Source organism: Homo sapiens, chromosome 7, assembly GCF_000001405.40.
Source record: "Homo sapiens chromosome 7, GRCh38.p14 Primary Assembly".
NCBI lineage: Eukaryota > Metazoa > Chordata > Mammalia > Primates > Hominidae > Homo > Homo sapiens.
The window spans coordinates 100,129,643-100,154,267 of record NC_000007.14 but is presented as its reverse complement, the minus strand read 5'-3'; the positions used below and the strand labels follow the sequence as shown (position 1 = coordinate 100,154,267).

Here is a 24,625-nt window from a genome sequence, read left to right as displayed (position 1 = left end):
CCAGAAGGTGGAAGACAGACATGGGGTGTAACCATTCCAACACTAAACACACATGTCCCTGGGCTGGAGAACATCAGACTCATGTTTATTAGGGAGTGAGGGAGCACAAAGGGAGGTCTCCTTGCCCTTGTTCTCCTTAACACAGCTCAGAGTCCCCAAGCCTGGGCCCGTCCAGGTAGGGGTGGGAGGTGGGCGAGCAGAAGGCCCTAGTTCTAGCAGCAAGCCAAGACCGACAGGTGTGCCTGCCTCATCACAGAGGCCCAGGACCCAATCCGCTTCTCCGACCCTCGCCCTCCGGCAGGCTCAGACATCAATGGGCTCCCGACCTCGGTTCTGCCTCTTCACCACAAACACCCTCTGTCCTGACACCGTCACCAGCAGTGTGTGTTCTCCAAAGACCACTGGAGGAGAGACACACCTTCCCCCGCCCCAGGAGAGGGAAGGGAGCACAGAGTTAGTGGGTGCAACAGACTCCATGGGGCGGGGCCACACGCACATTGGCTGGGATCAAAGCCAAAGAAGTTCTATAGTTCCAGGCTCAGAGATTTGAAGATGAGTGGCCTCTGCTAGATCTCCTTTCTCTTGCCTTCTCATTCACAATTCTGATACCAGGGAGTCCCAAAGGGAGGAAAGTGGCCAGACCAGAGACCCCAGGAGATGGTAGGAGGCTGGAAGAAGAGAAGCCGAGAAGCCCCTGGAAGTAGCCCCCCGCTCCCAGTACCACCACCAAGGGCAGGGGCAGGGGCTCACCAGACAGGCGCTTGAAGGGCACATTCATGCCGCGGTGCAGCCGGAAACCGCAGGCTGTGCTGACCAGCTCAGAGATGGCACTGGCTGCCTGCTCATCATTCTCCAGGTCCCCAGATGACTGCATGCAGACGGAGGAGGGAGAGGGGCGGGCATTACGGCACAGGCTCAGGAAGGAATTCCAGGCACAGTCCCCTTGGTTCTCACACTTAGACCCTCTCCCCCTTGGCTTGCCAGTACCCTCAGCTTTGGAAAAAAACAACCTGAAATCTCCCCCTATAATGTTGTCACCCTCCGGATGCCATCCTGTTTCCCATAATACTGGCCTTCCCCGGATGAGCAGTAACTTATCCATCTTTTTTTTTTTTTTCTTTTTTGAGACGGAATCTCGTTCTGTCACCCAGGCTGTAGTGCAGTGGTGCAATCTCGGCCTCTCGGGTTCAAGTGATTCTCCTGCCTCAGCCTCCCAAATAGCTGAGATTACAGGCACGTACCAGCACCACCACATCTAGCTAATTTTTTATATTTTTAGTAGAGACGGGGTTTTACCATATTAATCAGCTGGTCTCAAACTCTTGACCTCAAATGATCTGCCCGCCTCAGCCTCCCAAAATGCTGGGATTACAGACGTGAGCCACCGTGCCTGGCCATCCATCTCTTTATTGACCATGCTTTTCTAACCCCATAAAACTGGATTTCTCCCATGTCCCTGCCTATTTGATAAAGCCACATTCTCCAAAATGAATGCCTGCCCACCACTTACCTGTTAATGGCTCCATCTTTTTCTGTCTTCACACTTGCTGCCCTGTTTGCAGAATCTCAAACATAAACATTCCCTTTGTCCTTGAATACCTCCCTCTGTTGACCCCTAGAGTAAGTGATGGGACAGTGGCTTGGGCTTCCTCTTTTCTGGTGACTGTCTCAACTTCCTCTTCCCTCTTCCTTGATATGGGCCTCCACTAGATTTAGTTCCTTTTGCTGAACTAGCAATATATATTAACTGCTATTTTATATCAAACTCAATGTCTAAAGTTGGGCCATCAAATTTCACCTTATCCTTATCCACCTCCTTCCCAATCCACTTCTTTTTTTGATTTCCTGTTTGTTTGTTTGTTTTTTGAGACAGAGTCTCACTCTATCACCCAGGCTGGAGTACAGTGGTGCAATCTTGGCTCACTGCAACCTCTGCCTCCTGGGTTCAAGCAATTCTCCTGCCTCAACCTCCCAAGAAGCTGGGATTACATGCATGTGCTTCCATGCCAGGCTAATTTTTTGTAGAGATGAGGTTTCACCATGTTGGCTAGGGTGCTCTCGAACTCCCAACCTCAAGTGATCCACCCACCTCAGCCTCCCAAAGTGCTGGGATTAAAGGCGTGAGCCACCACGCAGGGACATGTTTCTTAAGGCATCATCACTCTTCCAGGCTTTAGAGTTCTGGCTACAGAAATATTTCCTCTATTACCTATTTCTAGTCATTAGCAAGATATACTGATTCCTCCTTTAAAATAACTTCTTCCAGCCAAGCACAGGAGCTCATGCCTGTAATCTCAGCACTCTGGGAGGCCAAGGCAGGAGGAATGCTGGAGGCCAGGAGTTTGAGACCAGCCTGGGCAACATAGCAAGGCCCCTGTCTCCACACATTTTTTTTTTTTTTTTAATGGCTGGGCGTGGTGGTGCTTGCCTGTAGTTCTAGTTACTTGGGATGCTGAGGCGGGAGGATTGCTTGGGCCCAGGAGTTCAAGGCTACAATGAGATGTGATCGTTACCACTGCACTCCAGCCTGAGTGACGGCGAGACTCTATCTTAAAAAAAAACAAACAAACAAAAAAACAGGACGGGGTGCTGTGGCTCACACCTGTAATCCCAGCACTTTGGGAGGCCGAGGTAGGCGGATCACGAGGTCAGGAGATCCAGACCATCCTGGCTAACATGGTGAAACCCCATCTCTACTAAAAATACAAAAAAGTAGCCGGGCATGGTGGCGGGCGCCTGTAGTCCCAGCTACTAGGGAGGCTGAGGCAGGAGAATGGCGTGAACCCGGGAGGCGGAGCTTGCAGTGAGGGGAGACTGCACCACTGCACTCCAGCCTGGGTGACAGAGTGAGACTCCGTCTCAAAAAAAACAAAAACAAAAACAAAAAAACAGGCCGGGTGCAGTGGCTTATGCCTGTAATCCCAGCACTTTGGGTGGGAGGCTGAGGCGGGCAAATCATGAGGTCAGGAGTTCGAGACCAGCCCGGCCAACATGGTGAAACCCTCTCTCTACTAAAAATACAAAAATTAGCTGGGCATGGTGGTGCACACCTGTAATCCTAGCTAATCAGGAGGCTGAGGCAGGAAAATCACTTGAACCCGGAAGACGGAGGTTGCAGTGAGCTGAGATCATGCCACTGCACTCCAGCCTGGGCCACAGAGCGAGACTCTGTCTCAAAAAACAAAAACAAAAAAAAACAAAAACAAAACTCTTCTCTCCTTGCTCCTCCTTCTTACCACCACTTGCCCAGTCTCATCTCTTTTTTTTTTTGTTTTTTTTGAGACGGAGTCTTGCTCTGTCGCCCAGGCTGGAGTACAGTGGTGTGATCTCGGCTAACTGCAACCTCCACCTTCCAGGTTCACGCCATTCTACTGCCTCAGCTTCCCGAGTAGCTGGGACTACAAGTGCCCGCCACCAGGCCTGGCTAATTTTGTTTTTGTATTTTTAGTACAGACGGGGTTTCACCGTGTTGGCCAGGATGGTCTCGATCTCCTGACCTCGTGATCCGCCCGCCTTGGCCTCCCAAAGTGCTAGAATTACAGGCATGAACCACCACGCCCAGCCCAGTCTCATCTCTTAATGACGCCTCCTTCTGCCCATCTTCACATCACTAACAACAATATTGCTCAACCACCTCACTGGGTCTTGTTTCTGTTTTAAAAAACCTTTCAAACTGTATTACCTTCAAGAATAAGTTCAAGTGTGTTAACCTGGCCTTGAAGATCCTTCACAATTACATCCTCCCTGACCATATCCTCCTCTCTTCCCTCAAACCTTCCCAAATCTTTTCAGCATAAACTTACCATCAGTTCAGATAGGTTAGTGCCACACACCTGCAAATAAGTCCTCCCCCACTGTAAATACTCTCCTTTAAGGTGGGCTGAATTCCTACCTCCCGGAAAGTTAGTTACCTTGTCATAACATGTTGAATTTTTAATATCCTGGATTCCCTCAATAGTCTTTACCACCTGTATTGTTTTCAACCCTTAACCTTAAGCTTTGTCTCTACCTAAGTCAAAAACATCTGGAGACTTAACACTATACAGTACTATGGAACAAAATACAAATGCCTCTTTAAGAAATACCAAATAAAGGCCAGACGTGGTGGCTCACGCCTGTAATCTAGAGACCTAACACCATACAGTACTATGGAACAAAATACAAATGCCTTTTTAAGAAATACCAAATAAAGGCCAGGCATGTTGGCTCACGCCTGTAATCCCAGCACTTTGGGAGGCTGAGGCAGGTGGATCACCTGAGGTCAGGAGTTTGAGACCAGCCTGGCTAACACGGTGAAACCCCGTTTCTACTAAAAATACAAAAAATTAGCAGAGCATGGTGGCACGTGCCTATAATCCCAGCTACTCGGGAGGCTGAGGCAGGAGAATCGCTTGAACCCCGGAGGCGGAGGTTGCAGTGAGCCGAGGTCGCACCACTGCACTCCAGCTTGGGCAACAAGAACGAAACTCAGTCTCAAAAACTATAAATAAATAAATCGCAGCCGTTAGGAGACTAAGATTCCACAGACTGATTACTGAAAGTAATTGCAAAAACTGCAAATACTTTTGTACCAACCTAATAGATGCCAGGCAGGAAACCAGATAAAAGCCGAGAAAAGAAGGGCCAATATTAGAAGGGGTTACCGGGCTGTGTGCACTAAGGGACCCCCTCCCTTTCCCAGAACGCACCGCCAGCACTGCACCTTCACTCAGTACCAGGTAGCCGAGCTGGTCTGGGATTCGCTCCAGCCCCTGGGTCAGCGCAGAAGTCTAGTGGGTAAAGATGCAAGTCGTGAGAAGCATGCTAGAGGGATGGACGGCCCGATACCCTTCACCTGCAAACCCAAGTCTCTGGGTTGACGATGGCCCCAGGTTTTCTCATTCCCCAGCCAGGTCCCTTCCCGGCCCCCTCCCCCCTACATGGTCCTCAATACTGATCTTCCCGAGCCTCCATCTGCCCCCACTCTCGCCCCCGGGCTCCCCTGGCCTTCCACATCCCACCTTTGCTACCCCAAGGGGCCTTTGCTGCCCCACTGGCCCCTGCCCCCAGACCCTCTCTTCACCTCCCTTCGTCTCCGCCCGACCTGCAGACTACCCGCAGCCCCAGAACACCCTCCCACAGACCCCTCCCCAGCATTCTCGTCGCCATCCCTCCCATTTCCATCCCCTCTTCCTCCCCGAGCGGATAGGAGGTGAGGGTGGAGCGCAGGCCCACCAGGGGGAAACCACACAGACTGGGGAGCAGAGACGCTGAACCCCCGGCGGGTCCTCTCGCGCATGCGTCCTCACTCACCATCGCAGTCTTCGGTGCTGGGGGAGCTCCCTACCAGATAGGTAGCTTCCGGCTTCAGGCCCCGGTCACGTGCTTGCAGCCGCTGCGCTCCTCCTTCTGCTTGCGCCACTGGCCTTTAGCCCCGCCTCTAGCATGAGGATTGGACAGTGGCCACGTCGTCAGACCCAACCAGCCAGTGCGAAGCGCTGTTTCCCGGAGGCGCACGTTGATTGGTGATATCCCCTCTTTAACACCCATCTCCCCGCCCCTCAGTGCCTGAGCGAGAGGAAGACGCGGGAGCGTCCGAGGAGGGGAGGATCTGGGAGGGGCGGGAGTAGGCCGGGGTTGACCGTTTGGTCCTGGGCGCACTGTCTGGAGCCAGAGTTCCGCCTGAGCCAGGATGCCCGCTGGTGTGACCCCCCCAAATGAATCCCTTCCCAGGTTTAAGACTGGACCCAAAAACTAGAGAATAAAAGGAAATAACGTGCAATGCATGTGAAAAACTATTCAAGGCTGGGCGCCGTGGCTCACGCCTGTAATCTCAGCGCTTTGCGAGGCCGAGGACGGATCATTTCAGGGCAAGAGTTCGAGACGAGCCTGAGCAACATAGCGAGACCCTCCCCAGTCCCCCCGCTCCAACCACCTCTACAAAAAAATAAGAAAATAAGCCGGGCATGGTGCCTCACGCCAGTAATTCCAGCTACTAGGGAGGCTGATGGAGGAGAATCTCTTGAGCTCAGCAGTTGCAGAGTGCAGTGAGCTATTATGGTGCCACTGCACTCCAGCCTGGGTGCCCTTCCTCTAAAAAAAAAAGAAAAGAAAAGGAAAAAAAAGGTACTCAAATGCTACTTTTTTTTTTTTTTGAGTCGGAGTCTCACTCGGTCGCCCAGGTTGCAGTGCAATGGCGCGATCTCTGGCTCAATACAACTTCCGCCTCCCGTGTTCAAGCAATTCTCCTGCCTCAGCCTCGCGAGTAGCTGGGATTACAGGCGCCCACCACCACGCCCGGCTATTTTTGTGTTTTTAGTAGAGATAGGGTTTCACCATATTGGCCAGGCTGGTCTCAAACTCCTGACCTCGTGATCCGCCCGCCTCGGCCTCCCAAAGTGCTGGGATTACAGGCTTGAGCCACCGCGTCCGGCCCTCAAATGCTACTTTTGTGCCTACTCAAGACAGCTCTTTGTTGAAGACAAGAATTTGTTCCCGAAGTGGTTTTTTTGTCCCCAGATTCAGTCCGGGACAATGTGGTGGTAAATAGAATCCCCAGCTAGCCAATGCAGCTGCAATACTGAATATTCATTCCCTACAGGAAAAAATTAGAAACAGTACCTTGGAATGATACACACACACACACACACACACACACACACACACATCACACAATATATGTAAACATTAGAAATTTTTGTTTTAAATAATTTCTAAACCTGTTGCCATATTAATGTGGTGGAGGCTGTGTTAGTGAAATAATATGAAGAATGATTCTAGAAGCCTGGGCAACATAGCAAGACCCCATCTCTAAAAATTTAAAAATTAACCAGGCATGATACTGCACATGTAGTCCCAGCTACCCGGGAGGCTGAGGTGGGAGAATCGCTTGAGCCCAGGAGGTTGAGGCTGCAGTGAGCCATGATCATGCTACTGCACTCAAGACTGGGTAAAAGAGCAAGATTGTCTCAAAAAGCAACAAAAAAATCTGAATATAATAACAATTGTTAAAGTCTGGGTGTCTTTTAAGACTTGTTAGAAACAGCAATTTCAAGGCTGGGCGTGGTAGCTCACACCTGTAATCCCAGCACTTTGGGAGACCAAGGCGGGTGGATCACCTGAAGTCAGGAGTTCGAGACCTGCCTGGCCAACATGGTGAAACCTCATCACTACTAAAAATACAAAACAAACAAACAAAAAAAAAAAAAACTAGGTGGGTGTGGTGGTGCATGCCTGTAATCCCAGCTACTGGGGAGGCTGAGGCAGGAGAATCCTTGAATCCAGGAGGCGAAGGTTGCAATGAGCTGAGATTGTGCCATTGCACTCCAACCTGGGCAACAAGAATGAAACTCCGTCTCAAAAGAAAAAAAAAAGATTTTGATGTAATAAATTATGGTGGCAGTATTCTTGATATTTAACCATCTTTGTGTTTCTGGAATAAAATCTGCTGGAACAAATTATACTACCCATTTGTTTTACTGCTTTATTTAGAATTTTTAAAATCTATTATGATAAATGAGATTGGGCTGTAGTTTCTTTTTGGTATATTCTTTATCTGCTTTTGGTAGAAAGAGCAGGTTGCCAGATAAAATGAATCAGAGAGTTTCCTATCTTTTTTATCTATGGTCTGCAAATCAAACTGGTTGGACCAACTCACACTCCTCTAGCAATGTGTCAGAGTTCCCAGTTATCTCCAGCTCCATTAACACATGGTATTGCCACACTTTTTGTTTTTTGTTTTTTTTTTGAGACAGTCTTGTTCTGTTGCCCAGGCTGGAGTGCAGTGGCGCAATCTCAGCTCACTGCAACCTCCACCTCCTGGTTCCCGGGTTCAAGCAATTCTTCTGCCTCAGCCTCCCGAGTAGCTGGGACTACAGGAGCGCACCACCACACCCAGCTAATTTTTGTATTTTTAGTAGAGATGGGTTTCACCATGTTGGCCAGGATAGTCTTGATCTCTTGACCTCGTGATCTGCCTGCATCAGCCTCCCAAAGTGTTGGGATTACAGGCCTGAGCCACCATGCCCAGCCAGTATTGCCACACTTTTAGGGTAAAGTTTTTGGATATGCGATGGCTTCTCATTGTAGTTTTTATTTGCATTTACCTAAATATTAATGAGGTTGATCACATTTTCAGACAGGTTTGGCTTTTGGGATATCATCTTTTGTGAAGTATCAGTTCAACTTTTTTTTTTTTTTGAGACAGAGTCTTGCTATGTTGCCCAGGCTGGAGTGCAATGGTGCGCTCTTGGCTCACTGCAACCTCCGCCTCCTGGATTCAAGCAATTCCCTTGCCTCAGCCTCCCAAGTAGCTGGGACTACAGGGGCACGTTGCCATCCCGGCTTTTTTTTTTGTATTTTTAGTAGAGACGGGGTTTCACCGTGTTGCCCAGGCTGGTCTTGAACTCCTGAGCTCAGAGCAATCCACCTGCCTCGGCCTCCCAAAGTGCTACGATTACAGGCATGAGCCACTGCAACTGGCTTATTTATTTATTTTTTTTTTGAGATAGTCTTCCTCTGTTGCCCAGGCTAGAGAGCGGTGGTGCGATCTCGGCCCACTGCAACCTCCACCTCCCAGGTTCAAGCAATCCTCCTGCCTCAGCCTCCCGAGTAGCTGGGATTACAGGCACGCACCACCAGGCACGACTAATTTTTTTGGGTTTTTAGTAGAAAGGGGGTTTCACCATGTTGACCATGTTGGCCAGGCTGGTCTCAAACTCCTGACCTTAAGTGATCTACCCACCTCGGCCTCCCAAAGTGCTGGGATTACAGGCATGAGCCACCATGCCGGCCCAGTTCAACTCTTTTCTCATTTTTCTATTGAGTTTGTCTCTCTCTTTTTTTTTTTTTTTTTTTCCCGCCCAGGCTGGCTAGAGTGCAGTGGCGTGATCTCAGCTCACTGCAAACTCCTCCTCCCGGGTTCACATCATTCTCCTGCCTCAGCCTCCCGAGTAGTTGGGACTACAGGCGTCTGCCACCACGCCCGGCTAATTTTTTAGCTCAGGAGTTTGAGACCAGCCTGGCCAACGTGGCCTGTTGTGGGAAGTCAGGGACCCCAAACGGAGGGATTGGCTGAAGCCATGGCAGAAGAACGTGGATTGTGAAGATTTCATGGACATTTATTAGTTCCCCAAATTAATACTTTTATAATTTCTTACGCCTGTCTTTACTGCAATCTCTGAATGTAAATTGTGAAGATTTCATGGACGCTTATCACTTCCCCAATCAATACCCTTGTGATTTCCTATGCCTGTCTTTAATCTCTTAATCCCGTCATTTTGGTAAGCTGAGGAGGATGTATGTCACCTCAGGACCCTGTGATGATTGTGTTAACACAAATTGTTTGTAGAGGATGTGTGTTTGAACAATATGAAATCTGGGCACCTTGAAAAAAGAACAGGATAACAGCAATGTTCAGGGAACAAGAGAGATAACCTTAAACTCTGACTGCCGGTGAGCCGGGTGGAACAGTGCCATATTTCTCTTCTTTCAAAAGCAAATGGGAGAAATATTGCTGAATTCTTTTTCTCAGCAAGGAGCATCCCTGAGAAAGAGAGTGTGTCCCTGAGGGTAGGCCTCTGAAATGGCCGCTTTGTGGGGCGGCCGTCTTTCATGGTCGAAGCTGTAGGGATGAAATAAGCCCCAGTCTCCCGTAGCGCTCCCAGGCTTATTAGGACGAAGAAATTCCCGCCTAATAAATTTTGGTCAGACCAGTTGTCTGCTCAAACCTGTCTCCTGATAAGATGTTATCAATGACAATGCGTGCCCGAAACTTCATTAGCAATTTTAATTTGTCCCGTCTTGTGGTCCTGTGATCTCGCCCTGCCTCCATTTACCTTGTGATATCTTATTACCTTGTGAAGCATGTGATCTCTGTGACCCACACCCTATTCGTACACTCCCTCCCCTTTTGAAAAAATCACTAATAAAAACTTGCTGGTTTTTATTAGTCATCACGGAACCTGCCGACATGTGATGTCTTCCCTGGACACCCAGCTTTAAAATTTCTCTTTTTTGTACTCTGTCCCTTTATTTCTCAGACCGGCCGACTCTTAGGGAATATAGAAAAGAAGCTATGTGAAATATTGGGGGTGAATTTCCCCCGATAGCGGCCAAATCCTGTCTCTACTAAAAATTCAAAAATTGGCTGCACATATTGGCAGGCACCTGTAATCCCAGCTACTCGGGAGGCTCAGGCCTTGAACCTGGGAGACAGAGGTTGCAGTGAGCCAAGATCGCACTACTGCACTCCAGCCCGGATGATAGAGCGAGACTCAGTCTCAAAAAAAAAAAAAAGGAAAAAGTAATAATAAAACCACAGAATGAAGTTAAAGATAACTTTAGGCTGGGCGCAGTGGTTTACGCCTGTAATCTCAGCACTTTGGGAGGCCGAGGCAGGCGGATCACGAGGTCAGGTGTTAAAGACCAGCCTGGCCAACACTTTGAAACCCCGTCTCTACTAAAAATATAAAAATTAGCCAGGCGTGGTGGCATGTGCCTGTAATCCCAGCTACTCAGGTGGCTGAGGCAGGAGAATCGCTTGAATCCGGGAGGTGGAGGTTGCAGTGAATGGAGATCACACCACTGCACTCCAGCCTGGACAACAGAATGTGACTCCTTCTCAAAGAATAGACAAATAAATAAATAAATAAAAAGATAACTTTATTGGTGACTAGGGTTGTGTCAAAAGAACTCAAAGGCCAACTTGAAGAGGCTTCCACTGGACAAAAAAAAAAAAAGAATATTTTGAAATCAATCAGGACAATAACTGCAGTGAATTGAAACATAACAAACATGCCTAAATCCACAAACTTATTTTTAAATTTTTGTTTGTTATTGTTTGTTACAGAGATGAGGTCTCGCTATGTTGCCCAGGCTGCTCTTGAACTCCTGGTCTCAAGTGATCTGTGCCTCAGCCTTGCACAGTGCTGGAATTTCAGGTGTGAGCTGCACTGCCCGGCCACTGAGATCTTAAAATTGGACTTTCATTTCCTTCAACATAGTAAGTGTTACAATCTGTGTCTGATAATTCCAACATCTGGAGTCCTTGTGTGTCTGTGTGTGTCCATGTTTCTGTAGTCTGTTGTTTCTATTGTTCTGGCTGCCCTGCTTTATTACCTGCTTTGTGATATTTGATTGTTTTCTGGACATTTTATTTGAAAAAATACTTTTATGTATACCGTTAAGACCTAAGGCACTATTATCTTACTCTGAACAGTTTCCACTATTAGATATCTAAGGTATTTAACAGTTCAGACACATGGTTTGAAGTTCTGTGGCCACACAGAAAAATTCCTGGGAGTACAGTCTACCCCAACAAACAGAGTAAAATTCTTCAGTTTTCAACCCAGTACAGGGACTGTTACATAGCATCTTCCATTTGGTGAACGTTAAGCTCCAACTCCCATTGTGCTAATGCATGAAAGCCACCAAAAATACATCTCTGCCTTTCAGTGAATGCCCATGGATTAGAGTCTCAACAAACAGCAGAAGATGCTTCTCTAAAGTTTACCTTCCCAGTTGCTGAAGGACTTTCACCCATGTTCACTCTATCTCTCTTGTTTTTTGGACACGGGGTCTCACCTTGTTACCCAGGCTGGAGTGCAGTGTCGCAATCTCAGCTCAATGCAGCCTTGACCTCCCAGGTTCAAGCGATCCTCCTGCCTCAGCCCCCCAAGTAGCTGGGACTACAGGTGCATGCCACCACACCTGGCTGTTTTTTTTTTTTTTTTTTTTTAAAGAGATGGGGTCTTACTATTTTGCCCAGGCTGGTGTAAAACTCCTGGGCTCATGTGATCTTCCCACCTTGGCCTACCACCTGCTGGGATTACAGGCATGAGCCACTGTACCCGGCCCACTCTACTCTTGAGAATGGCAAAAGCCAAGCTTTATGTCTCTGCTGTCTTTACTCACAAATATCCCTGGTTTAGAATCACCCCTAAGCCATCTATTTGAGCTCCAGTCCTTTTCCCTGTTCTCTCCTGATAATTCTTCAGTGTCATACAAGGTCTTTGATGCATTTTAAATATTTTTATTTTATTTTATTTTTTGAGACAGAGTTTCTCTGTGTCACCCAGGCTGGAGTGCAGTGGCACAATCTCGGCTCACTGCAACCTCCACCTCCTGGGTTGAAACGATTCTCCTACCTCAGCCTCCCAAGTAGCTGAGATTGCAGGTGTGCACCAGCATGCCTGGTGAATTTTTGTATTTTTAGTACACATGGAGTTTTGCCATGTTGGCCAGGCTGGTCTCGAACTCCTGACCTCAGGTGATCCACCCGCCTTGGCCTCCCAAAGTGCTGGGATTACAGGTGTGAGCCACTGTGCCCAGCCATAAATATTTTTATTTTAAATCTTTTTTCAGTTGTCTTTATTGGGGGTAGTCAGGCCAAAAGCCACAGTTCATTTGCAGATTGTTCTTTTTTTTCACGCTTAGTAAACAGCATAGACCAACCACACCTTCCTTTATTGGGAAATCTTATCTCATCTTGGCTTTCATAATATCACTTCCTTCAATGCACACGTGAGCAACTTGAAAATGAGGTCCACATGGGATCCATTTTGCTGGTGAGGGTGGTATTAGAGGCACCTGGCCCTCAATAGTGGTGGTAGTTTGCGAGGCTAGACTCCTGGCACAGAAAGGCATGCATCCTTGGTGCAGTGTGAATGACAGCAGGAGTCTCTCCTACCCCAATGAGTAGGGCTGCAGCACTGGGGGTCTGAGCATGATTTTAGGACATAGTTCTTGGAAGATCAGCATTCAAGTTTTCATCTCCATTCTCCTAATACTTATGTGGGCTGCCCAGGATCCTTTTATTAATTCCCTTTATCTGTAATCAGCCAGAATTAGCTTCAGTTTCTTGAGAGGAAAAGCAATGACTAATCAGAGTGTGTGATTGTGCTGCCCCAGTAACTGGCAGCTTCAGTTTCATATGGTGACTGTCATGATTAGAAGTGAGCTATGGGGCAGACACGGTGGCTCACATCTGTAATCTCACCACTTTGGGAGACCAAGGTGGGTGTATCACCTGAGGTCAGGAGTTTGAGACCAGCCTGATCAACATGGAGAAATCCATCTCTACTAAAAATACAAAATTAGCCGGGCGTGGTGGCGCATGCCTGTAATCCCGGCTACTCGGGAGGCTGAGGCAGGAAGGAGAATCACTTGAACCCAGGAGGTGGAGGTTGCGGTGAGCCGAGATTGCGCCATCGTATTCCACCCTGGGCAACAAGAGCGAAACTCCCTCTCAAAAACAAACAAACAACAAAAAAAATGAGCCTGTGAGGGCTGGGCGAAGTGGCTTATGCCTATAATCCCAGCACTCTGGGAGGCCAAGGCGGGCCAGATCACCTGAGGTCAGAAGTTTGAGACCAGCCTGGCCAACATAGAGAAACCCCGTCTCTACTAAAAATACAAAAATTAGTTGGGTGTGGTGGTACGTGCCTATAATCCCAGCTACTCGGGAGGCTGAGGCAGGAGAATTGTTTAAACCCGGGAGGCGGAGGTTGCAGCAAGCTGAGATCACACCATTGCACTCCATAACAAGGCTCTATCTCAAAAAAAAAAAAAAAAAAGTGACCTATGAGGCTCTTTTCCAACTGGAACCATGGAGGGTGTTGAAAAGAAGAAGGTTCCTGCTGTGCCAGAAACCCTTAAGAAAAAGCGAAGGAATTTTGCAGAGCTGAAGATCAAGCACCTGAGAAATAAGTTTGCCTAAAGATGCTTCAAGAGGCCAGGAGGAAGCTTAGGTAGGAAAAAGCGAAGCACTATCACAAGGACTATAGGCGAATGGACAGAACTGAAATTCAAATGGCTAAGATGACAAGAAAAGCTAGCAACTTCTGTGTACCTGCAGAACACAAATTGGCATTGGTCATCAGGATCAGCAGTATCAATGGTGTGAGCCCAAAGGTCCGAAAGGTGTTGCAGCTTCTTCATCTTCCTCAAATCTTCAATGGAACCTTTGTGAAGCTCTACAAGGCTTCAATTAATATGCTGATGCCAGCCACGGTGCTTCACGCTGGTAATCTCAGCATTTTGGGAAGCTGAGGCAGTACGATCACTTGAGGTCAGGAGTTGGAGACCAGCCTGGTCAACATGGTGAAACCTCGTCTCTACTAAAAATAATTAAAAAACAAAAAAATTAGCCGCACATGGTGGTGTGTGCCTGTAGCCTCAGCTACTTGGGAGGCTGAGGCAGGAGAATCGCTTGAGCTCGGGAGGCAGAGGTTGCAGTGAGCCAAGATCGCGCCACTGCGCTCCACCCTAGGTGACAGAGCAAGACTCCATCTCAAACAAACAAACAAAAAACATGCTGAGGATTGTGGAACCATATATTGCATGGGGATACCCAAATCTGAAGTCAGTAATTGAACTAATCTACAAGTGTGGTTATGGCAAAATCAATAAGAAGTGAATTGCTTTGACAGATAACACTTGATTGCTTGATCTCTTGGTAAACATGGCATCACCTACATGGAGGATCTGATTCATAAGATCTATACTGTTGGAAAATGCTTCAAAGAAGCAAATAACTTCCCATGCTCCTTTCAATTATCCTCTCCACGAGGTAGAATGAAGAAAAAGACCACCCATTTTGTAGAAGGTGGAGATACTGGCAACAGAGAGGACCAGATCAACAGACTTATTAGATGAACTAAGGTGTCTACCATGATTATTGTTCTAATGTTTTCAGTTAATAAACAGTAACTGCTCTCAAATTGAGAAAAAAAAAAAAAAAGTCCATGCGCGGTGGCTCACACCTGTAATCCCAGCAGTTTGGGAGGCCAAGGCAGGTGAGTCACGAGGTCAGAAGATCGAGACCATCCTGGCTAACATGGTGAAACCCCGTCTCTGCTAAAAATACAAAAAAAAAAAAAAAATTAGCTGGGCGTGGTGGCGGGTGCCTGTAATCCCAGCTACTCAGGAGGCTGAATCAGGAGGATCGCTTGAACCCAGGAGGTGGAGCTTGCAGTGAGCCAAGATCGCACCACTGCACTCCAGCCTGGGCGACAGAGCGAGACTCCATCTTAAAAAAAAAAAAAAAGAAGTGAGAATACACAGGAAAGGTATGTGACTCAGCCTTTGGGGTTGTGGGAAGAATTCCACAAAAAGGAGATATCTTGGCCAGGCACAGTAGCTCACGCCTGTAATCCCAGCACTTTGGGAGGCCGAGGCAGGTGGATCACCTGAGGTCAGGAGTTCGAGACCAGCCTGGTCAACATGGCGAAACCTCGTCTCTACTAAAAATACAAAAATTAGCTGGGCGTGGTGGCACGTGCCTGTAATCTCAGCTACTGGGGGGGCTGAGGCAGGAGGATTGCTTGAACCTGGGAGGCGGAGGTTGCAGTGAGCCGAGATTGTGCCATTGCACACCAGCCTGGGCAACAGAGCTAGACTCCATCTCAAAAAAAAAAAAAAAAAAAAGGAGATATCTTTTTTGTTGTTGTTGGAGATGGGGTCTCACCCTTTTGCCTAGGCTGAAGTGAAGTGTAGTGGCTCAATCTCGGCTCACTGCAACCTCCACCTCCTGGGTTCAAGCGATGCTCCAGCCTCAGCCTCCCGAGTAGCTGGGAGTAGGTGCGCACCACCGTACCAGCTAATTTTTGTATTTTTAGTAGATGTGGGGTTTCACCATGTTGACTAGGCTGGTTTTCAACTCCGGGCCTCAACTGATCTGCCCGCCTCAGCCTCCCAGAGTGCTGGGGATTACAGGCATGAACCATCGTGCCCCACCCAAAGGGGAGATATCTAAGCTGCGTTCTCAAAGAGGACTTTGTGTCAGCCAGGTACAGAGTGTCAGAAGGGCACTCACGGCTGGGGAACAGAGATGCCCAGGTATAACATAAATCACACAGAAAAATGTTTGAGTTGGGGATGGGATGAGGCAAGAGGTGAGGCAGCAGAATAAAGCAAGAAGGTCCCCAAGGACTTCATACACCGGGCTCAGATTTGTGCATTATAATTTCTAAAAATGGCTTCAGATAAAACTGAACAATTCATTTCTCCCAAAGCATCTCAGCTGAAGCTCAGGCTTTATTTTGTAAAAAAGGTTTGTACATTTTGGAAGGCTGATTTCCTGGCAGATGGGACTAACGCGCTTCAGGAAGGTGTAGGTTTCTAGACACACGAAGTTACTTCCTGGACTAGCAGCAGGGCTAAGAGCCAGTGACTTGCAATATATACCCTAGGGGAAAGCAGGTGCCTGTCACCACCTAGATATGGCTTCAGGTGAAGATTTTTGTGTGTGTGTGTATTCAGCTCCCAACCTTGTTTGATCACTCAATGGAACAGGTAGCTGAATGTGACCACAGCTTATGATGGAACCTACTGACCTGGAAAGAAACCAGCATGCTGAACCACTACCTTATAAACCCTTGAGCACAACCTTCCTCCCTCAGTTTTTGCAACAATGACCCTACTTTACCCTCAGGGACTCTATTATCTCAAGTTTTCTCCAAACAACTCTACTTTCGTCTTTGTACCTTGTATTAATATTTTAGTTAACAGGACTTTTTCTCCAGACAAATTTGTATCTTACCTTACAGGGAAATAAAACATTTTACTTTTGGCACTAGAAAAAAATATGTAAATATATGTGTTTAAAAAAAAAAAAAGTGGGCCGGGCGTGGTGGCTCACGCCTGTAATCCCAGCACTTTGGGAGGCCAAGGCGGGCGGATCACAAGATCAGGAGATCGAGACCATCCTGGCTAACACGGTGAAACCCCGTTCCTACTAAAAAATACAAAAAATTAGCCGGGTGTGGTGGCAGGCGCCTGTAGTCCCAGCTACTCCAGAGGCCAAGGCGAGAATGGCGCGAACCCGGGAGATGGAGCTTGCAATGAGCCGAGATTGCGCCACTGCACTCCAGCCTGGGCGACAGAGTGAGACTCCATTTCAAAAAAAATAATTAAAAAAAAAAAAAGAAAGAACAAATTTTAAAAAGCAAGAAAACATCTTATAACCTTTAGTGTTGGCCTTGCTGCTAGAAAACGTAAGTCTAAACATATTGCTGTGGCCGGGTGCAGTGGCTCACCTGTAATCTCCGCACTTTGGGAGGCCGAGGCAGGCGGATTACCTGAGGGCGGGAGTTCCAGACCAGCCTGACCAATATGGTGAAACCCTATCTCTACTAAAAATAAAAAAAATTAGCCAGGCATGGTGGCATGCGCCTTAGTCCCAGCTATTTGTGAGGCTGAGGCAGGAGAATCACTTGAACCCAGGAGGTGGAGGCTGCAGTGAGCCAAGATCGCGCCACTGCACTCCAGCCTGGGCGACAGAGGGAGATTCCGTCCCAGAAAAAAAATAAATAAAATAAAAAACATATTGGTCACATGAAGCAACTTTTTAATTTTTTAATTGTTTATTTTTTTGAGATGGGGTCTTGCTCTGTTGCCTAGGCTGGAGTGCAGTGGTGCAATCATAGCTTACTGCAGCCTCCAACTCCTGGGCTCAAGTGATCCTCCCACTTCAGCCTCCTGAGTAACTGAGACTACAGATGTGCGCCCCCATGCCCAGCTAATTTTTGTATTTTTTGTAGTAATAGGGTCTCACTTTGCTGCCAGGCTGGTCTCAAACTCCTGAGCTCAAGCCATAGAGCTCAATATACCATCCATCCCTGCATAATTTCTTTATATACTTAGGTACTGCCTTCAAGTCCAGTTTCTTTCTAGAAAGCAGAGAAACGCAACCCTCTCCCCAGGGCATTGCTTTCTTCTACAGATATCCAGTAGAAAAGGCTTTCTGGGCTGGGCGTGGTGGGTCACACCTGTAAATCCGACCTTTGGGAGGCCAAGGCGGGCGGATCACTTGAGGTCAGGAGTTTGTGACCAGCCTGGCCAACATGATGAAACCCCATCTCTACCAAAAACACAAAAATTAGCTGGGTGTGGTGGCGTGTGCCTATAATCCCAGCTCTTCAGGAGGCTGAGGCAGGAGAATCGCTTGAACCCGGGCGGCGGAGGTTGCATGGCGCCACTACACTCCAGTCTGGGTGACACAATGAGACTCCGTCTCAAACAAACAAACAAACAAAAATGCTTTCTGGTGGGTGAGTGGGAGGAGGAGGTGATTATTCTTTTCCTGGGGGTCTGGACCATTAAGTTCCACAGTCATTAGGTTCCTCTTGCCGGCAGCCTTATTCCTTCTTTGCGCTTGCATTCCCAGACTCTACATTTACTCTACTAAGAAGTGTGGTTCTCTCCTTCCTCAGGCAGCTGCCTTTCTCCCCACTGAACTTCCTTCTGGGTGCTTGACCAGCCACATCTTCCACACATTTTCAGATGCTGTACTTTGGCAGTAGGTGAAACATCACCAGGACGCTACCCTGTGAGTTTTTTATGAAAAGAGGACACAAGGCTTTGGGGACTTACAGAGGGAGGGGAGCAAGGGTTGAGGAGTATCCTGCAATGGGGGAAGGGGATTTAAATTTCAGAAAGAAAATGTAGGCAGGGGAAACAGACACATGGACAGACTCAGGTTTAGGGAGCAGTGTATTTCTTCTATTTGTCAAGCAATCAGTATGGATTAAAATCATGATCTGGGGCTGGGCACAGTGGCTCATGCCTGTAATCCCAGCACTTTGGGAGGCCAAGGCGGGCAGATCGCCTGAGGTCATGAGTTCGAGACCAGCCTGGTCAACATGGTGAAACCCCATCTGTACTAACAATACAAAAATTAGCTGGGCGTGGTGGTGGGCACCTGTAATCCCAGCTACTCGGGAGGCTAAGGCAGGAGAATTGCTTAAACCTGGACAACGGAGGTTGCAGTGAGCTGAGATCACGCCACGCCACTGCACTCCCGCCTGGGCAACAGAGCTAGACTCCGTCTCAAAAAAAAAAAAAAAAAAAAAAAAAATATATATATATATATATATATATATAATTTATAAAATAAAATTTAAAAAAATAAAAAATACAAAAATTAGCCAGGCATGGTGGCATGCACCTGTAGTCCCAGTCTGGCGGCTGAGGCAGGAAAATTGTTTGAGGCAGAGGTTGCAGTGAGCCGAGATGGTGCCACTGCACTCTAGCCTGGGCTACAGAGAGAGACTCTGTCTCAGAAAAAAAAAAAAAGAAGACGACAATGAAAATTCAGACTTAGAAAAAAAGCATTCATGCTGGGCATGGCAGCTCAAGTCTGTAATCCCAGTACCCTGGGAGAGACTCTGTCTCTACAAAAAATCAAAAAATTAGCTGGGCATGGTGGCAAGTGCCTGTGGTCCCAGCTACTTGGGAGTCTGAGGTGGGAGGATCACTTGAGTCTGGGAGGTCGAGGCTGCAGCAAGCTATGATCACCCCCACTGCACCAGCCTGGGTGACAGAGTGAGATCCTGTCTCAAAAAAAAAAAAAAAAAAAAAAGGTAAAAGGAAGAAAGAAAAAAAAAGAAAAGGATCAACTGAGTGGTAGGATGTCTGGAATTTATTTATTTACTTATTTATTTTTTTGAGACAGAGTCTCACTCTGTCGCCCAGGCTGGAGTACAGTGGCATGATCTTGGCTCACTGCAAGCTCCGCCTCCCGGGTTCACGCCATTCTCCTGCCTCAGCCTCCCAAGTAGCTGGGACTACAGGCGCCGGCCACCACGCCCGGCTAATTTTTTGTATTTTTAGTAGAGACGGGGTTTCACTGTGTTAGCCAGGATGGTCTCGATCTCCTGACCTCATGATCCGCCCGCCTCAGCCTCCCAAAGTGCTGGGATTACAGGCGTGAGCCACCGTGCCTGGCCGGATGTCTGGAATTTCTAAGAGATGATGGTCTGAATTCCTGGGTTTTCCCTTAGCCCCAAAAACTAAATGCTGAGAAGGACAAAAACTCCCAATTAAAGGTGGGGCTGCAGGGAGAGAAATTGGAGAGTAGACAGCAGTTGCTTTTTCTTTTTTTTTTTTTTTTTAGACAGAGTCTCATTCTGTTGCCCAGGCTGGAGTGCAGTGGCACATTCTCGGCTCACTGCAACCTCCGCCTCCCGGGTTCCAGCAATTCTCCTGCCTCAGCCTCCCGAGTAGCTGGGATTACAGGCGCACACCACCACGCCCAGCTAATTTTTGTATTTTTAGTAGAGACAGGGTTTCACCATGTTGGCCAGGCTGGTCTCTAGTTGCAGGAAAACAAGCTCAGGGCTCCCACTGATTCTACATGATGATGAGTTGTAGAATTATTTCATTATATATTACAAACACTGCTGAACACAGCTTCTAATTATTTAATCATGCAACTGGAAACTTCAAAAACTGCCATTATTGATATACATCTTCTACATTGATGGTTTCTTACTGATCCTTGGATTAAAATTTTTTTTTTTTTTTTGAGACAGAGTCTCGCTCTGTCACCCAGGCTGGAGTGCACTGGCACAGTCTCAGCTCACTGCAACCTCCACCTCCCGGATTCACGCCATTCTCCTGCCTCAGCCTCCTGAGTAGCTGGGACTACGGGCACCCGCCACCATGCCCGGCTAATTTTTTGTATTTTTAGTAGAGACAGGGTTTCACCATGTTAGCCAGGATGGTCTCCATCTCCTGACCTCGTGATCTGCCTATCTCGGCCTCCCAAAGGGCTGGGATTACAGGCATGAGCCACCGCGCCTGGCCTGGATTTTAAAAATTTTCTACCTGGGGTCTTGAGCACAGGTCCGATGTCTAATAAACAACTTCAAGCTTCATGGCCAGGCACGGTGGCTCACGCCTGTAATCCCAGCACTTTGGGAGGCCAAGGCGGGTGGATAATTTGAGGTCAGGAGTTCAAGACCAGCCTGGCCAACATGATGAAACCCCATCTTTACTAAAAATACAAAAATTAGGCGGGCGTGGTGGCGTGTGCCTATAATCCCAGCTACTCAGGAGGCTGAGGCAGGAGAATTGCTTGAACCTGGGAGGTGGAGGCTGCACTGAGCCGAGATTGCACCAAAGCACTCCAGCCTGGGCGACAGAGACTCCGTCTAAAAAAAAAAAAAAAAAAGTACACCAAACTAATGCTGATCTCATCTGGCAGAGGTCACTCTGCTCTGCCCTCCGAGAGTGGAATACTGTGCTTAATACAGTTTTGCTGCTTTGCTTTGCTATCTGTTTGTGTCTCGTCCAATTCTTTGTTCGGGACACCAAGAGCCTGGAATTGCACGGCACCATCTGGTAACACTTTCCCAGTTCTCCCTTTGATCTGTGCATTTATGCAGCTTTGCCCTTTGTGATCTGTCTATCTTCTCTGGCATCTCTCCCTCTTTTTAGCCCACTGTGCAAGGAATCCCCAGGACCTCAGAGATCCACTTTCATTAGCTACTCCCTAACTCAGCGCCTCTCTTTCTTCTGTGTGTAAACAAGCTCCTTGTTCTACGTCTAGGATGGAGATGGTAGAAGCAGGGTTGCCAACAGAGGAGATAGGAGGGGAAAGGGGGATTTACTCCAGGTTTTGAGGCACAGAGAAGGAAGGGTTTGTCAGGGGTAGGGAGAGCTGGAGACCAGGGAGTTGGAGGCAAGCCTAGACTCCCCTCTGGTGGCAAGGGGAGGGTGTGCAGGTGCACCAGTGAGGATCAGGAGACAGAGATGCGAGTTATTCTCTGTGGGATTTAGCAAAACCCACAGACATACAGTTGTTTTTTGTTTGTTTGTTTTTTGAGATGGAGTCTCCCTCTGTCATCCAGGCTGGAGTTCAGTGGCACAATCGACTCACTGCAACCTCCACTTCCCGTGTTCAAGCGATTCTCCTACCTCAGCCTCCCGAGTAACTGGGATTATAGGTGCATGCTACCACGCCGAGCTAATTTTTGTATTTTTAGTAGAGATAGGATTTCACCATGCTGGCCAGGCTGGTCTCGGACTCCTGACGTCAAGTGACCCACCCCCCTCAGCCTCCCAAAGTGCTGGGATTACAGGCGTAAGCCACCACGCCCAGCCACAGACATATAGTTTTAAACACAAGAAGGGACCTGCAGATGTGTTTGGTGGTGGCTTAGACACTAGGCTTTGGGTCAGAGCCAGTATAAGACCGTATATGCCAGTATAAGTGGAGCACCTGCTGGAGACCTACCAGCAAGAGGAGGATTATGTTTGGTGAACCAAAACCTCCTTCCAGGCTGGGCGCAATGGCTCATGCCTGTAATCCCAGTACTTTGAGAGGCCAAGGCGAGAGAATCACTTGAGCCCAGGCAACACAGTGAGACCCCATCTCTATAAAAAATAAAATAAAAAATTAGCCAGGCATAGTGTTGTGTACCTGTAGTCCCAGCTACTCTAGAGTATGAGGTGGAAGGATTGCTTTAGCCTGGAAGTTCAAGACCAGCCTGGGCAACACGGTGACACCTCATGGCTACATAAATTTTATTTATTTATTTATTTATTTATTTATTTATTTATGAGATGGAATCTTGCAGGTATGAGCCACTGTGCCCGGCCCAAGACTCTGTCTCTAAAAAAAGAAAGGAAGGAAGGAAGAGAGAGAGAGAAGAAAGAAAAAGAAAGAAAGAAAGAAAGAAAGAAAGAAAGAAAGAAAGAAAGAAAGAAACAAAGAAACAAAGAAAGAAAGAAAAGAAAGAAAAGGAAAAGGAAAGAAAAGGGCCCGGCGCGGTTGCTCAAGCCTGTAATCCCAGCACTTTGGGAGGCGGAGGCGGGCGAATCACGACATCAGGAGATCGAGACCATCGTGGCTAACACGGTGAAACCCCGTCTCTACTAAAAATACAAAAATTAGCCGGGTGTGGTGGCGGGCGCCTGTAGTCCCAGCTACTCGGGATGCTGAGGCAGGAGAATGGCGTGAACCTGGAAGGCAGAGCTTGCAGCGAGTCGAGATCGCGCCACTGCATTCCAGCCTGGGTAACAGAGCGAGACTCCGTCTCAAAAGAAAAAAAGAAAGAAAGAGAGAAGCGGGGAGAGAAAGAGAGAGAGAAAGAAAGAAAGAAAGGAAGGAAGGAAGGAGAGAAAAAGAAGGAAAGAAGGAAAGAGAGAAAGAGAGAAAGAAAGAGAGAAAGAAAGAAAAAGAAAAGAAAAGAAAAGAAAAGAAAAGAAAAGAAAAGAAAAGAAAAGAAAAGAAAAGAAAAGAAAAGAAAAGAAAAGAAAAGAAAAGAAAAAGGAAAGAAAGAGGCTGCTGCGCTCCCGGGAGAGGGACGGCAGTCGAGACGGCTGCTGCTCCGCGGGCCTGCAGAAGGGGGCGCCAAAGATCACGAAAGTTAACAGCTGCCGCTCGGATGCCTGGAGGTAGTGGGGCCGGGGCGAAGTACCCAGGTAGGGGGGCTAAGCTGGAGGCTCCTGCAGCGCCTTCTCTTACCGGATGCCGGTCCCTGGAGGCTCCAAGCAGCTTTTCGTCCGGGAAATTTCCAGTGGCACTCAGTCCTCAACCTGAGAACTTAGCACTAGGAAACTCTGGTCTTTCCAGTCTAATGCGTATGCTCTCTTTGGTTAGAAAAGAAAAACCACGTGTCCCTTTTGCATTGGTCGATTGGAAATCAATCTATTATTCATTGCAGGAGCCGCCTCAGAATGCCATGAAGAGGTAAAGTCCACCTCTGTAGCGAGATTGCCTGGGTTGGAATCTCTGCTCTGCCAGTTACTCTTTGCCAATAACTTTCAGGGTCTTGACCTGTTGCCCATGCTGGAGTGCAGTGATGCAATCATGGCTTCACTGCAGCCTCCAACTCCTGGGCTCAAGTGATCCTTCTGCCTCAGCCTCCCAAGTAGCTGGGGCTGCAGGTGGGCTCCACCAAGCCCAACTAATTTTTTTTTTCTTTTTTTAGAGTTGGGGTTTTGCTATGTTGCCCAGGCTGGCCTCAAACTCCTGGGCTCAAGCAATCCTCCCACCTCAGCTTCCCAAAGCTCTGGGATTACAGGTGTGAGCCACCTCACCCAGCCACTAATTACTATTTATGTCATCTCTGTTGACTTAAGGTCAAGTCACTTAACCACTCAGCACTTCAGTATTTTCTTATTTGTGAAAAGGAATAATAGGCCAGGTGTGGCAGCTCAACATCTGTAATCCTAGCACTTTGGGAGGCTGAGGCAGCTGGATCACCTGAGGTCAGGAGTTCAACCAGCCTGGCCAACATGGCAAAACCCCATCTCCGCTTAAAAAAAAAAATACAAAAAGCCAGGCGCAGTGACTCACGCCTGTAATCCCAGCACTTTGGGAGGCTGAGGTGGGTGGATCGCCTGAGGTCAGGAGTTCGAGACCAGCCTGGCCAACATGGTGAAACCCTGTCTCTACTAAAAATAGAAAATTTAGCTAGATGTGGTGGTGTGCGCCTGTAGTCCCAGCTACTCGGGTGGCTGAGGCACAAGAATCGCTTGAACCCAGGAGGCGGAGGTTGCAGTGAGCTGAGACTGTGCCACTGTATTCCAGCCTGGGCAACAAGAGTGAAACTCCGTCTCAGAAAAAAAAAAAAAATGTAGCTGGGCACGGTGGCAGGCACCTGTAATCCCAGCTACTCGGAAGGCTGAGGCAGAGAAGTGCTTGAACCCAGGAGGCGGAGGTTGCATTGACCGAGATCGAGCCACTGCACTCCTCCAACCTGGGCAACAGAGTGAGACTCTGTGGAAAGAAAGAAAGAGACAGAGAGAGAGAGAGAAAGGAAAGAAAGAAAGAAAGATAATAATAGTACTTAGCTCAGAGCTGCGATGAGGAACAAATAAGTTAATGGATGGGGCTGGGCACGGTGGCTCACGCCTG

At 47.9% G+C, this 24,625-nt stretch overlaps 1 protein-coding gene and 1 pseudogene across 9 annotated transcripts, besides 7 other annotated features; one reads left to right on the top strand and one right to left on the bottom strand.

Moving 5' to 3' along the window:
- Window positions 1-64: 64 nt before the first annotated feature.
- Window positions 65-5,350, bottom strand: LAMTOR4 (late endosomal/lysosomal adaptor, MAPK and MTOR activator 4). 9 transcript variants are annotated; one of them, NR_134527.2, is made up of 5 exons: window positions 5,293-5,350; window positions 4,689-4,769; window positions 1,511-1,552; window positions 751-868; window positions 65-401 (listed from the first exon to the last, which is right to left on the bottom strand). NR_134527.2 is itself a non-coding variant. In NM_001394588.1 (4 exons), exons 1-4 carry the CDS (start codon window positions 5,293-5,295, stop codon window positions 372-374), a joined length of 327 nt encoding a protein of 108 aa, NP_001381517.1. In that variant the 5' UTR covers window positions 5,296-5,350; the 3' UTR covers window positions 65-371. The 9 variants fall into 9 exon arrangements, 6 of the variants coding, with proteins under 6 accessions (NP_001381517.1, NP_001381516.1, NP_001305165.1 ...); NR_134529.3 differs by lacking the exon at window positions 1,511-1,552 and having other exon boundaries at window positions 5,235-5,350; NR_134526.2 differs by lacking the exon at window positions 1,511-1,552 and having other exon boundaries at window positions 4,703-4,769.
- Window positions 4,510-5,122: an enhancer, noted in NCBI's record as "H3K27ac-H3K4me1 hESC enhancer chr7:99746769-99747381 (GRCh37/hg19 assembly coordinates)". NCBI's record gives its function as "activates a minimal SCP1, AML or CMV promoter by ChIP-STARR-seq in naive H9 embryonic stem cells {active_cell/tissue: H9 hESC(naive)}" and the evidence as "EXISTENCE:reporter gene assay evidence [ECO:0000049][PMID:30033119]".
- Window positions 4,781-4,870: a silencer, noted in NCBI's record as "silent region_18419". NCBI's record gives its function as "represses an Ori minimal core promoter by ATAC-STARR-seq in GM12878 lymphoblastoid cells {active_cell/tissue: GM12878}" and the evidence as "EXISTENCE:reporter gene assay evidence [ECO:0000049][PMID:35858748]".
- Window positions 4,881-4,970: a silencer, noted in NCBI's record as "silent region_18418". NCBI's record gives its function as "represses an Ori minimal core promoter by ATAC-STARR-seq in GM12878 lymphoblastoid cells {active_cell/tissue: GM12878}" and the evidence as "EXISTENCE:reporter gene assay evidence [ECO:0000049][PMID:35858748]".
- Window positions 5,271-5,380: an enhancer, noted in NCBI's record as "active region_26343". NCBI's record gives its function as "activates an Ori minimal core promoter by ATAC-STARR-seq in GM12878 lymphoblastoid cells {active_cell/tissue: GM12878}" and the evidence as "EXISTENCE:reporter gene assay evidence [ECO:0000049][PMID:35858748]".
- Window positions 5,651-5,710: an enhancer, noted in NCBI's record as "active region_26342". NCBI's record gives its function as "activates an Ori minimal core promoter by ATAC-STARR-seq in GM12878 lymphoblastoid cells {active_cell/tissue: GM12878}" and the evidence as "EXISTENCE:reporter gene assay evidence [ECO:0000049][PMID:35858748]".
- Window positions 5,735-6,347: an enhancer, noted in NCBI's record as "H3K4me1 hESC enhancer chr7:99745544-99746156 (GRCh37/hg19 assembly coordinates)". NCBI's record gives its function as "activates a minimal SCP1, AML or CMV promoter by ChIP-STARR-seq in naive H9 embryonic stem cells {active_cell/tissue: H9 hESC(naive)}" and the evidence as "EXISTENCE:reporter gene assay evidence [ECO:0000049][PMID:30033119]".
- On the top strand, window positions 13,570-14,703 carry RPL7P60 (ribosomal protein L7 pseudogene 60; annotated as a pseudogene).
- Window positions 16,377-16,436: an enhancer, noted in NCBI's record as "active region_26341". NCBI's record gives its function as "activates an Ori minimal core promoter by ATAC-STARR-seq in GM12878 lymphoblastoid cells {active_cell/tissue: GM12878}" and the evidence as "EXISTENCE:reporter gene assay evidence [ECO:0000049][PMID:35858748]".